Source organism: Homo sapiens, chromosome 14 (assembly GCF_000001405.40).
Source record: "Homo sapiens chromosome 14, GRCh38.p14 Primary Assembly".
Lineage (NCBI taxonomy): Eukaryota > Metazoa > Chordata > Mammalia > Primates > Hominidae > Homo > Homo sapiens.
In genome coordinates, this window is record NC_000014.9 from 23,980,835 (window position 1) to 23,994,726 (window position 13,892).

Genomic DNA, 13,892 nt, shown 5'->3' on the forward strand with positions numbered 1-13,892 from the left:
CACAGCCAACATCATACTGAGTGGGCAAAAGCTGGATGCATTCCCTTTGAAAATCGGCACAAGACAAGGATGCATTCTCTCACCACTCCTATTCAACATACTATTGGAAGTTTTCTAGCCAGGGCACTCAGGCAAGAGGAAGAAATAAAGGGTATTCAATTAGGAAAAGAGGAAGTCAAATTGTCTCTGTTTGCAGATGACATGATTGTATATTTAGAAAACGCCATCATCTCAGCTCAAAATCTCCTTAAGCTGATAAGCAACTTCAGCAAAGTCTCAGGATACAAAATCAATGTGCAAAAATCAGAAGCATTCCTATATGCCAATAATAGACAGAGAGCCAAATCATGAGTGAACTCCCATTCGCGACTGCTACAAAGAGAATAAAATACCTAGGAATCCAATTTACAAGGGATGTGAAGGACCTCTTCAAGGAGAACTACAAACCACTGCTCAAGGAAATAAGTGAGGACACAAACAAATGGAAAAACAGTCCATGCTCATGGATAGGAAGAATCAATATCGTGAAAATGGCCATACTGCCCAAGGTAATTTATAGATTCAGTGCTATCCCCATCAAGCTACTAATGACTTTCTTCACAAAATTGGAAAAAACTACTTTAAATTTCATATGGAACCAAAAAAAGAGCCCATATAGCTGAAGGGGGCCAGCCCCTCCACACCTGTGGGTATTTCTTGTCAGGCAGGATGAGAGACTGAGGAAAGAAATAAGACACAGAGACAAAGTATAGAGAAAGAAAAGTGGGCCCAGGGGACTGGCACTCAGCATACAGAGGACCCACACTGGCACCAGTCTCTGAGTTCCCTCAGCATTTATTAATTACTATTTTTACTATCTCAGCAAGAGGAATGCAGCAGAAGAGCAGGGTGATAGTGGGGAGAAAGTCAGCAAGAAAACATGTGGCAAAGGAATCTGTGTCACAAATAAGTTCAAGGGAAGGTACTATGCCTGGATGTGCATGTAGGCCAGATTTATGCTTCTCTCCACCCAAACATCTCAGTGGAGTAAAGAATAACAAGGCAGCATTGCTGCAAACTTGTCTCACCTCCTGCCACAGGGTGGTTGTTCTCCTAACTCAGAATTGAACAAATGTACAATCGTGTTTTATACCAAGACACTCAGTTCCCAGGGGCAGGCAGGAGACAGTGGCCTTCCTCTATCTCAACTGCAAGAGGCCTTCCTCTTTTATTAATCCTCCTCAGCACAGACCCTTCATGGGTGTCGGGCTGGGGGACGGTCAGGGCTCTCCCATCCCACGTGGCCATATTTCAGACTATCACATGGGGAGAAACCTTGGACAGTAACCAGCGTTGCAGGGCAGAGGTCCCTGCGGCTTTCCGCAGTGCATTGTGCCCCTGATTTATTGAGACTGAAGAATGGTGATGACTTTTACCAAGCATACTGCCTGTAAACATTTTGTTAACAAGGCACATCCTGCACAGCCCTAGATCCCTTAAACCTTGGTTCCATAAAACACATGTTTCTGTGAGCTCAAGGTCGGGGCTAAAGTTACAGATTAACAGCATCTCAGGGCAAAGCAATTGTTCAGGGTACAGGTCAAAATGGAGTTTCTTATGTCTTCCTTTTCTACATAGACACAGTAACAGTCTGATCTCTCTTTCTTTTCCCTACATATAGCCAAGACAATCCAAAGCAAAAAGAACACAGCTGGAGGCATCACGCTACCTGACTTCAAACTACTGCAAGGCTACAGTAACCAAGACAGCATGGTAATAGTACCAAACAGATATCTAGACCAATGGAATGGAACAGAGGCTGCATAAATAACACCACACACCTACAACCATCAGATTTTTGACAAACCTGACAAAAACAAGCAATGGGGAAAGGATTCCCTATTTTATAAATGATGTTGGGAAAGCTGGCTAGCCGTAGGCAGAAAACTGAAACTGGACCCCTTCCTTACACCTTATACAAAAAAACTGAAACTGGACCCCTTCCTTACACCTTATACAAAAATTAACTCAATTTTATTATGTTGTATTAAATTAAGTTGGGTTTAATTAAGATGGATTAAAGACTTAATTATAAGACCTAAAACCATAAAAACCCTAGAAGAAAACCTAGGCCATACCATTCAGGACACGGGTATGGGCAAAGACTTCATAACTAAAACACCAAAAGCAATGGCAACGAAGTCCAAATAGACAAATTGGACCTGATTAAACTAAAGAGCTTCAGCACAGCAGAAGAGACTATCGTCAGAGTGAACAGGCAACCCACAGAATGGAAGAAAATTCTTGCAATCTATCCATCTGACAAGGGGCTAATATCCAAAATCTACAAAGAACTTAAACAAATTTACAAGGAAAAACACAAACAACCCCATCAAAAAGTGGGCTAAGGATGTGAACAGACACTTCTCAAAAGAAAACATTTATGCAGCCAACAAACATGAAAAAAAGTTCATCATCACTGCTCATTAGAGACATGCAAATCAAAACCACAATGAGATACCATCCCACACCAGTTAGAATGGCAATCATTAAAATGTCAGGAAACAACAGATGCTGGAGAGGATGTGGAGAAATAGGAACACTTTTACACTGTTGGTGGTAGTGTAAATTAGTTCAACCGTTGTGGAAGACAGTGTGACCATTCCTCAAAGACCTATAACCTGAAACACCATTTGACCCAGCAATCCCATTACTGGGTATATATCCAAAGGATTATAAATCATTCTACTATAAAGACACATGCACACATATGCTTATTGCAGCACTGTTCACAGTAGCAAAGACTTGGAACCAACCCAAATGCCCATCAATGATAGACTGCATAAAGAAAATGGGGCACATATACACCATGGAATACTATGCAGCCATAAAAAAAGATGAGTTCATGTCCTTTGCAGGGACATGGATGAAGCTGGAAACCATCATTCTCAGCAAACTAACACAAAAACAGAAAACCAAACACCACATGTTCTCACTCATAAGTGGGAGTGGAACAATGAGAACACATGGACACAGGGAGGGGAACATCACACACCAGGGCCTGTTGGGTTTATAGGGGGCTGGGGAAGGGATAGCATTAGGAGAAATACTTAATATAGATGACGTGTTGATGGGTGCGGTAAACCACCATGGCACGTTTATACCTATATAACAAACCTGCAAGTTCTGCACATGTATCTCAGAACTTAAAGTATAATAATTTAAAAAAAGAAAAAATGTAAAAAAAAGAAATTAAAAAGAGTTGGAGCATAGAAGAAAGAAAAGAAATGCAATTTGAAGGGCAGTATGTGCAGTGTAATCTCATTTGTGGAAACAATTTTTAAAAGAAAAATGCATGTAAATGTATAGGAAACTTCTGGAAAGATACACAAAGCCAAGAGCTGTATGGGAAGAAGGTAAAAGAACCATAGGGAAGAGTTACCTTTTACTTTTCACATAACTTTCTTTCCCTTTTTAAAATAATAAGCATGTTTTATTTTTATAATTTAATGAACAGATGTGTTGATTTGAAAAACACACTGATCCTGAAAGTTAAAATTCCAATTCAGAGAAAATTGATTTCTATGAAAAGTATCAATCCCCCAACAATGTCATCAAAATGAAGTGTAGCTATACAACACAGACAGTGGTTGAGGTTGTCATCACTCACTCGACTTTCACATATAGAATTTAAAACACCCGACCGGGCGCAGTGGCTCATGCCTGTAATCCCAGCACTTTTGGAGGCCAAGGCAGGAAGATCACTAGGTCAAGAGATGGAAACCATCCTGGCCAACATGGTGAAACCCCATCTCTACTAAAAATACAAAAATTAGCTGAGCGAGGTGTTGTGCTAGCTCACCAGGTACTGTAGTCCCAGCTACTCGGGAGGCTGAGGCAGGAGAATCGCTTGAACCCGGGAGGCAGAGGTTGCAGTGAGCCAAGATTGTGCCACTGCACTCCAGCCTGATGACAGAGCAAGATGCCATCTCAAAAAAAAAAAAAAAAAAAAGAATTTAAAATGCCACAGTCCTTGGTGGACTGAACAAAAGAAGATTAACATGGTAATAAAGACAAATGAGTACATATGGAAGAAGGGGTCAGGGGGCTCATTTCTTCTAGGGAACAAGGGCCCTGAGCTTCTATACCCCTTCGTATTTACTGAGTAAAGGAGATAGGGAGAAAGGGGTGGTTGTCAGTAAGCTGCTTGACTTAGTGTAGGCTTGTATGACTGCATTCTTTGAACAGTAGTCTCCAGAGGTTCCAGTAGATAACCTCAAGGAGCACAGCACCAGGGAGTAATTGCCCTCAGCAAACCTCCTGGTGGCAGGTGCAGAAGCGAGTTTGCCCACATTTTGCAATCATGATAAACAGTTGGCTGTTTGATCATATAGCCTTCAGTGGAATGCTGAGTTGGTCACGACCCTCAGGCCTTTGGCTCCCTACATTAAAACACCCATTTCACCAGATTAAAAATATTCAATAAAATTTCTAAAAAGCACTTAACACTTGCCAGCACTTACTAAGGAAGTGCTCAATAAATGCTGTTAACACTCTTACTATTATTTCTCTGCTTGGCAGTTGTCCTAATCCCACACCAGCCCTTCCACATAGCCTAATCCTGACTTGTGTCAGTGATGCATGACTCAACAGTGAATCTGGGACAGCTATTGCAAAATGCAAGACTTAAAATCCATCCCAGATGAATTCTCTTCTGGACCGCAGGCAGCCCTTGAAAAGGATGAGAGTAGAGCCCTCAATCATGGAGGCATTTGTCCCTCAAGATAGGCAGATGTTACCACCTCCATACAAGAACAATCCCATTGCCTATTACAGTTCCCATTTCAGAGAGATACTCCCACATATGTATGTATTTCCCTGAAAGGTTTCTTGTTCCTCTTCTTTTTTTATTTTTTTGAGATGGAGTCGCTCCTTCTGTTGCCCAGGCTGGAGTGCAGTGGCATGATCTCAGCTCACTGCAACCTCTGCCTCCCAGGTTCAAGCAATTCTCCTGCCTCAGCCTCCTGAGTAGCTGGGATTACAGGCACATGCCACCAGGCATGTATTTTTAGTAGAGACAGGGTTTCACCATGTTGGTCAGGCTGGTCTTGAACTCTTGACCATGCCCAGCTAATTTTTGTATTTTTAGTAAAGACAGGATTTCACCATGTTAGCCAGGCTTGTCTCAAACTCCAGACCACACCCGGCTCATTTTTTTATTTTCAGTAGAGACGAGGTTTCATCATCTCAGCCAGCTGGTCTCAAACTCCTGACCTCAAGTGATCTGCCCACCTCAGCCTCCTAAAGTGCTGGGATTACAGGCATGAGCCACCATGCCCACCCCAAGATTTCCTGTTCTTATCTCCAATAAGCCAGCTTGATGAGGAGTAGCGCTAGAGATTCCCATACTTCTTGACTTCCTTCTATCCTTTTCTGCTCACAGGCCCCCTGTGAGAACACTGCATGTTCTCACTCATAGGTGGGAATTGAACAATGAGAACACTTGGACACAGGGTGGGGAACATCACACACTGGGGCCTGTCGTGGGGTGCAGGCATGGGGAAGGGATAGCATTAGGAGGAATACCGAATGTAAATGATGAGTTAACGGGTGCAGCACACCAACATGGCACATGTGTACATATGTAAAAAACCTGCACGTTGTACACGTGCACCCTAGAACTTAAAGTATAATAAAAAAAAAAAAAGAAAGAAAGAAAGAAAAAGAAATAGTGCTGGAGGCCAAATAGCAACCCTGCCCACACAAGGAAGGGCCATGTGTTGTTCACCAAGCTCCCAAGCCACAATTCTCTTTTCCCAGAATCCTTTGCTCTTTGAAGTGTGGTCTTCCTCACTTTCCTGGAACCCTCAGCCCCTCAGTGGGCCCGTCTACCTCTGAAGAGAAGAGGAAGAGAGATCAAATACCCCCCTGGAGGCTTGTCCCTTTGAACCAAGCCCTGAGAACCCCCGCAGCAGTCCTCCTGTGTACCCTCCCCCCAGCCCCACACAGATGGAGAGCCCTGGGAAGGGTTCCCACAGTGCATGAGCTCCAAACAGTGCAAGAGCACAAGGAGTGTGGCGCTTCCAGCCTCTGTCAATAATTCATGAGGCTCAGACTGAGGAGCACCAGTCAGAGTCAGCTTTGCCTGGACATGGGGAAAATTATACTGCAGCTCTCCTGTCTCATCGGGATGTGCTGAGTAGCAAAGCAGAGTGCTGCAGCTGTAACTTCTTGGCTGAGGAAAACACTAGAAATCCAGTGCAGGCCTGTTCTATTACTTGCTCGCCATACACCCCCTTTTGAATGTTGAAATCCTTGTTTTTTTTCTTTTTGTTGAGACAGAGTCTCCATCTGTCGCTCAGGTTGGAGTGCAGTGGCGTGATCTTGGCTCACTGCAAGCTCCGCATCCCGTGTTCATGCCATTCCCCTGCCTCAGCCTCCCGAGTAGCTGGGACTACAGGCAAGTACCACCACGCCCGGCTAATTTTTTGTATTTTTAGTAGGGACGAGTTTCACCGTGTTAGCCAGGATGGACTTGATCTCCTGACCCCGTGATCCGCCCGCCTCGGCCTCCCAAAGTGCTGGGATTACAGGGTGAGCCACCACGCCCAGCTGAATGTCCAAATCCTTTTTCAGCTGCTCAGCTGACCTGCACATATACTAAATGAATCTTGAGCAAACATGAATTCTATTCAAAAGTCATGCCTAGAACTGGATTTCACAAACCAGGATTCTTTCCCCTCTAATTGTAGGGACTGGCATAAGGCTGCCAAACTGGTGATTTCACCAATAACACATCTCTAAACCTACCCATCTGCTTTCATCATCTTTTCTGAAACAAAACACTAACACACACACACACAAAAAGAAGGAAAGGTATACTCCACAATAAAGGACTGTTAAATAAGCTTAGCTTTATGAAACTCACTGTAATTGTTTCCTTTTCTCATTTTGCTTTGAACTAGTGAAAACGCTGCCATGAACCAGCACTGCTTCTCAGTCTGGCTTTGGAGGCCAGTGGGTTAAACTAATTCAGATACTTACCTTTGGGTCTGTTGCGGCCTTTCTACACTGTACCATAAGCCATCCATATTTATTCATTCTCCCGGAAACCCAGGAGGGAGATCATTTCAGCCCACTTGGCAGAAGTGGAGACTGAAGTCTTGGACACAGAATTTATAGCTGGCAAGGACTTTATTCATCATCCATACCCTCAGTAATTTACAGATGAAGAGTCTGGCCCAGGGCACCAATAATAATCACTACATGGTGGCAGTAACTACTATGTGCTTAGTAGCTTACAGTTCATAAAGAGATTTTGCATTCAACAAATATTTATTGAACTAGGATGGAGGCTAAGACCTGGGGACAGAGTGGTTAGGGAGAACTTGAGTGCCCCGAGTTCTTTGCATTTCCACCACTGCTTGAGGGACTGTCCAGCCTCCTCGCTACCACTTAGCCCCTGTAAAGGAGGAAGTCCCTTTGGCGAGGGATATGAGATCCTGTTTTGCCAATGACCGTAGTCTGCCCTCCAAGGGCCCGTGAAGATGGAAGAGACCTTGGGCAGAGTGAAGGGCAGTGCCAGGCCTGGCGCAGCTACTGCCTATCACGTCTCTCTCCCAGGCTGCTCCAGCCTCACCTGGTGGACTCCATGGGGACCACAGGCCTCACCTCCATGGGCAGTCTCAAAACATTTGCCCTCCTGTGGGCTGTCACATACATAGACCCAGACTTTCTTGGAGAAGGAATTCTGAAGAAGCAAAAGCAACCAACTCAAAACCCCCACTTCCCCAAGAAGAAAACGTGGACAAGCAGATGCAGAAGGGCAGCAGCCAAAGTCTGCGGGTTCCTGCGGGGGCCAGGGGAGGGGCGAGCCCTACAGGCAACTTGAACGGAGAGCGCTTTGATCACTCACCAGCCCGGGAAGGCAAGCCCCAGTCAGGCGGAAGGTAGCTGGCTGCGGGGCGGGGCGACTGGCGGGCGGCGGGAGGCGCCAACCGCCACAGACGACTCCCAGCTGGCCGAGGGCGGGAAGGGGGCAGGCAGGGAAGCGGCCCGCCCTTCGTCCTGCCCCTTCGCCCTACTCTGTCACCTCCGCTGGAAGGAGTGGAACCCAGACTTGCTGGTCTGATCCATGCAGATGGCCAGGCTGCTAGGCCTCTGTGCCTGGGCACGGAAGTCGGTGCGGATGGCCAGCTCCAGGATGACCCGCCGGGACCCGCTCACAAATAAGGTGGCCCTGGTAACGGCCTCCACCGACGGGTGAGTGTTGGTGCCGGAGTTTCTGAGGCCCTGGCTGCCTGGAAACATGCACTGGTGTCTCGTCCTTTGCCTCCAGTGCCCCTGTCCTCAGACCTCACATACCGCCAAAGTCTGGCCATGGAAAAAAAGTAGCCACGTGGTCCGCCTGAAGCCCCTCCGAATACCCTGGCCCTCCCTTGCCAGCCCTTCTGTCCCTGCTGCCTCTGGCACAACTGTGCCACCTCTGTGCAGCCCCATCGATCTAGTCCCCCCAGTGTTCTGGGCTGCCCCAGTCAACCAGCCTTACCTAGCCTCTGGGAAGACCAGAAACTGGAAATGCAAGGGAATCTGGATTCAAAATCTTATAACAAGGCCTCCAGCTTTTTGAAAATGTACCATTCTATTTGGGCTCCAGAAAGTGTCCCGGAACCCCTCCCCCTTACCTAGATGGGACACCAGAGCCATGTGTCGAGACTTTTTTTTAGGTCGGTACATCTGGGCCTACCTTGCCCAGCCTGTTTCTCACCCACCTCTCTTGTCAGTCCTGGTTCTCATTTCTACAGGACTTTGCTAGATGCCAGCTCTTCACAAAACTAAAATACAAATGTAGATAAAATGCTAATGGCTGACAACTGCAGAATGTGTAACTCTTCTTCCCAAGGCAATATTTACGTTTTTGACCAGAGACCATCTTTTCACATGCACCCCAAAAAATAATTATGGAAAGAATTTTGAGAATGATGTAGACTAGTAAGAAAGAAACCTGGCGGCAGGACTGTTCTGAGTGAGACCTTCAAATCACGGAAGTGGCTGCTGCTGCACACCCAGCTCATTTCTCACCTCTCAGTCCCAACAGGAGATGAAGCCTGTCACCCGTGGTGGGAACTGTAGAAAGTGATGTCAGTTCTTGGGAACTAAGGCTGTGATCCAGGTCATAATAAAAATAAGTAAAGCAGTGCTAAAAATGGCCATGCCATTAAGCCTGTTTTACACATAGTAGGCACACGTAGGAGTTATATAGAGAAAGAGCCAGAATTCAAACCCGGGCAGTCTTAACTTCAGAGCCCATGCTGTCGACCTCTTCCCCTGCACAGGCCTTAGCAGTCTTTGTCTCTTTCTGCTCACAGGATCGGCTTCGCCATCGCCCGGCGTTTGGCCCAGGACAGGGCCCACGTGGTCGTCAGCAGCCGGAAGCAGCAGAATGTGGACCAGGCGGTGGCCACGCTGCAGGGGGAGGGGCTGAGCGTGACGGGCACTGTGTGCCATGTGGGGAAGGCGGAGGACCGGGAGCGGCTGGTGGCCATGGTGAGCTGCAGGGAAATGGGCACAGAGCCAGGAGGTGGAAAAGGAAGCCAGCCTGAGCCTCCTTCCCTGCTTTCCTAGACAGCAGCACATTTTTACTGTGTGCCTTTCTATTATGTCCATATACTAACGTCAGAGAATCATCCCATCTCAGTCAGAGAATTTTAAAACATTCTAATGCTTCAACCCTGCATCATCCCTTGAGTACCCCAAAGAAACAGCTGGTACTGGTTCTGCAGTAATTTTCAATCTAATTGAACAGATGTGAAGGGTAAATACAATCACAAAATAGATGTTCCCACCCATGAGCTAATAAACATTCCCCTCTTCTTCAGCTTATAGAGTCAAGTCCCTGGGAACCTCAGGAAGCAGCCCACCATGTTTCAGCCACTTACTATGTGCCATTTCCTGTGTTCAGAGCCTTACACAGGTTATCTCTAGACCTGACAACAACCCAAGCAAGGCAAGGACTATTCTCTCAGTCTGCAGACCCTGGCTCAGATAGCTGGAGCAACTTCCCAAGGTCCCACAGCCAGTAAGGAAAGACCCAGACCTCCCAAGCTCCCTTCCTTTATTGGCTGCCTGTGGACTACCAGGTACTGGACTTCAGTCTCAAAGAAAGTACATAAGTCAATGTCATAATTAGTAGTGGACAACAGCCTTGCAGCTGCTGAAGCAACTATGAAGCATTCACAAAGGAAGCTCCTCTTCCCTTGAGGCTCAGGGCACACACTTTATTTCCCAGAGTGGAAGGGAGAATCTACCCAAAAATGGAAAGTACAGGATTCTGCTAACAGATTGGAAGGTTGGCAGAAATAATTTGCATAATCTTCTTAGAAGAGGAGGATCTTAAGCAATAGTAGACAGAATAGGGTAATTCCATTTTTAAGGAACAGTCTGGCAGACACTCAAATGTGCATTGGAAAGAGCCAAATATGAGTCCAAGAAAGTCACAAATGTGAGTCCAAAAAAGCTTGGCTTAGACTGGTCGACAAAGCCCAAGATTGGGGCCTTGATCCTGATGGTGGAAGGAGCCGTTTGGGAGTCTGGATCAATTAGCACTAACCATACGACATGTAAGTAGCAATGTAATGTGAAAATCCTCCTAGAAAAACAACCTGTGCCCCCCACCAGGTTCACTTAACATGGCCTACAGGCCTGGCCCAGAAGTGGTACTTGAGCTAAACCTTAAGGAATGGATGGGAATGGACAGATGGAATAGTGACGAGGTTCCAGATAACTCTGCAAAATGAGCAGACAGCCAAGGAGGAACTGAAGGAAAGAGAGGAGCACTGTCAGTCCACAGTGGAGAGCACAGGCTCAGGAGTACTGCTGGGGAAGGGGCTGCATTGGAAAGATAGAGGCCATGGGCCTCCATATCTTTTTTTTTTTTTTTTGAGACAGAGTTTCATTCTTGTTGCCCAGGCTGAAGTGATATGGCACAATCTCAGCTCACTGCAACCTACGCCTCCAGGTTCAAGCAATTCTCATGCCTCAGCCTCCCGAGTAGCTAGGATTACAGGCATCCACCACCACGTCCAGCTAATTTTTGTATTTTTAGTAGAGACGGGGTTTCACCATGTTGGCCAGGCTGGTCTTGAACTCCTGACCTCAGGTGATCCACCCCCTCGGCCTCTCAAAGTGCTGGGATTACAGGCGTGAGCCACTGTGCCCGGCCATAGCTTCTTAAAAGGATACGTTAAGGACCTTAAAAGGATATGGCCTCTTAAAAGGATATGTTTACACATTCTTGCAGCAAATAAGAAGCCATGTGAGGTTTTGAGCAAGAGAAAGATGGTTATTAGGAAAGCTAATCTGGCTCTGGTAGGAAGGATATACAGAGGAGACACCGAATCCAGGGCATCAGTGAGGAAGCTGTTGCTGTCGTCCAGGTTTAGAGCAGTGGCGGCGGGACTGGAATAGATGTGCCCAAGAGACATTTAGTGGAAACGAACCAAGATTTTCCAACCCCATGTCAAAAAGTGGGAAATAGAGAAGTCAAAAATGACTCTCAGGTAGTTTGTATGACCATTGTCAGAGAAGAGAATGATAGAATACTTGTCAGCAATTTGAAATGTCTTCTGCCAGTTGCCACATGTTACCCTGCAATAAGAAAAGCCACTGCCCTGAGAATGGATACTACCCAGTGGCCTCCTCATCTGCACACCACGAAGCTTCTCACTGGTGTTGTAAGTGGAAACCAGAGTAGCTGCCTATCTGCTTGATTATATTTTTTCTTAAAAATGTATAACTATCAGAACACAGAACAAACAGCTCCTAACCGCTTTAGTGTAGTGATCACACAATTTAGAATAAGACTTAGAAGACTTTCTTTTATTTTTTTCCAGAGACAGTGCCTCATTCTGTTGCCCAGGCTGCAGTGCAGTGACATGATCATAGCTCACTGTAACCTCGAAGTCCTGAACTCAAGCAATCCTCCCACCTCAGCCTCCCAAGTGGCTAAAACTATAGGCATGCACCACCACACCAGTTCATTTTTTAAATTTTTTGTAGAGTTGGGGCTGTATTTCCCAGGCTGTTTTGAACTCCTGGCCTCAAGTGGTCCTCCCCACTGGGCCTACCAAAGTGCTAGGATTATAGGTGTGAGCCACCACACCCAGCCTCATTCATCTTTTATGGTTTGCTGTCTCTGTTCAATCAAAACCCAGCCTCCTCCCATCTCTGTGCTGACAGACCTGGAAGGAGAGGAGTATGGGGTATACAGCAGAGTAGAAAATGTCTCCAGGTGATTCTAGAGCAATCCATTGTCTCCTCCCAGCCCAAACACATGTGTACTGAGCACAGTGCACATCACTTATTAACTTACTCTGCACCTCCCTAGTAACAAGTCCATTGGTGAGACTTACACAGAGCCAACCCAGGTGACTTGGCTTTGTGCCAGGATGCCAAAATTTAAAGGGTGCAAGAAAGTATTAATACCGATTTTAAAAGATTATGTGACTGTAAATTTTGTTAGATTAACACGTTGACAAACCCAGCATTCCTTCCACTGTCTAGAAACAACTGAGCTTAGCACCTAGTTAACAAGAATAATTAGTTAAAACGGGAAGCTAGCAGATGGTGTACATTGTTAGTAACACCCCTCTCTGTGCCAAATCCAGAGCACAAAGTTGACCAAGGGCCCACATACTGCAACTTGCCCAAGGCATCAAAATTGCCAGTTCCGGGCAAATGCAAAGTCTAGTTTCAGGGTGGCTTTGTACTGAAAACCCTTGTTGGCAGATTCTGCTTGGCCATTCATTACTCTAGCACACGCCTCACTATCTACTTATAACTTATTAAGGAGGTGAGATGTTGCCTTTCTTCGCTTTCTCAATTTAAATTTCAGTTTCTGCCTTGAATCTTTCATGCCTCCAGGTCAAAAGAGAGAGACAGAGACAGGGAAAATGACATCATAACCAAATATGGAATTGCTTTAAATTCAGGCTGGTATCTTCTCCCATCATGGCTCTCCTGGGCAGCTGGTTTACTAATGACCCCAACTCACTTTCAGAGGTCTCTTATGAATTAGCTCTGTGCTACAAAGTGGGAGACTGACCTCACTTCTTCCACTACTGACTAGCTTTGTGCCCTGAAAAAATCACTTCACCCCTCCCAAACACAGAATAAGCAGGCCTCCTGTTCTTAGCTAGCCCCAGTGTGCCACTACTGAAGTATAAGATCTTGAGAAAATTCTCTGAACCTGTTTCATCATCTCCACCTTAAGGACACTGGAATAGATGATCTCAAAGGCCCCTCCAGGGTAACTTTCTTCAGCTCTATTTAAGCCAGTTTTTCCATTCAGGTAAGTGTGGACAGATTGACTTTGAGATAATGGTAACTTATTCAGGGAGAACTGGACAGTAAGCACTTGGAGAAATGTGGGTGGAACTCAGTGTGAAAGGAAGAGGAGGGGTCTGGAAATAGATTTTGGGGTGAGACTTGAAATCATGAGAATGAAGGAGCTTTCCAAAGGGAAAGTGTAAAGAAAAGAGCGTCAGAGACAGCCTTGGAAGAATAGGAGGTGGGAAGAAAAGACTGCAAAAGAAATAGGGCCAACTTCCTGGTGGCTTGTGCCTATAACACTTTAGGATACCAAGGCAGGTGGATGGCTTGAGCCCAGGAGTTCCAGACCAGCCTGGGCAACATGGCAAGACCCTGTCTCTACAAAAAATACAAAAATTGCCCGGGTGTGGTGGCACGCACTTCTACTCTCAACTACTTGGGGGGCTGAGCCAAGAGGATGGCTTGAACCCAGTAGGTCAAGGCTGCAGTGAGCTGAGAACATGCCACTGTGCTCCAGTCTGGATGACAGAGCAAGACTCCATCTAAAAAAGAAAGAAGCCAACCTTAAATGGTTAGCGGCAGAT

At 46.0% G+C, this 13,892-nt stretch overlaps 1 protein-coding gene across 4 annotated transcripts in view, besides 2 other annotated features; it reads left to right on the forward strand.

Moving 5' to 3' along the window:
• DHRS4L2 (dehydrogenase/reductase 4 like 2) overlaps nt 1-13,892 on the forward strand; it is a 36,535-nt gene that overhangs the window by 10,961 nt on the left and 11,682 nt on the right. For 2 of the 4 annotated variants that reach the window (NM_001193636.1, NM_001193637.1), the window contains exon 2: nt 9,348-9,525. In NM_001193636.1, coding sequence (NP_001180565.1) covers nt 9,523-9,525 — 3 coding nt within the window. In that variant the 5' untranslated portion in view covers nt 9,348-9,522. Of the gene's footprint in view, nt 1-6,321; nt 6,440-8,094; nt 8,242-9,347; nt 9,526-13,892 lie in introns of those variants that run through there. The other 2 variants (NM_001193635.1, NM_198083.4) reach the window with 2 other exon arrangements.
• Nucleotides 7,631-7,690: an enhancer, noted in NCBI's record as "active region_8182". NCBI's record gives its function as "activates an Ori minimal core promoter by ATAC-STARR-seq in GM12878 lymphoblastoid cells {active_cell/tissue: GM12878}" and the evidence as "EXISTENCE:reporter gene assay evidence [ECO:0000049][PMID:35858748]".
• Nucleotides 7,861-8,110: a silencer, noted in NCBI's record as "silent region_5615". NCBI's record gives its function as "represses an Ori minimal core promoter by ATAC-STARR-seq in GM12878 lymphoblastoid cells {active_cell/tissue: GM12878}" and the evidence as "EXISTENCE:reporter gene assay evidence [ECO:0000049][PMID:35858748]".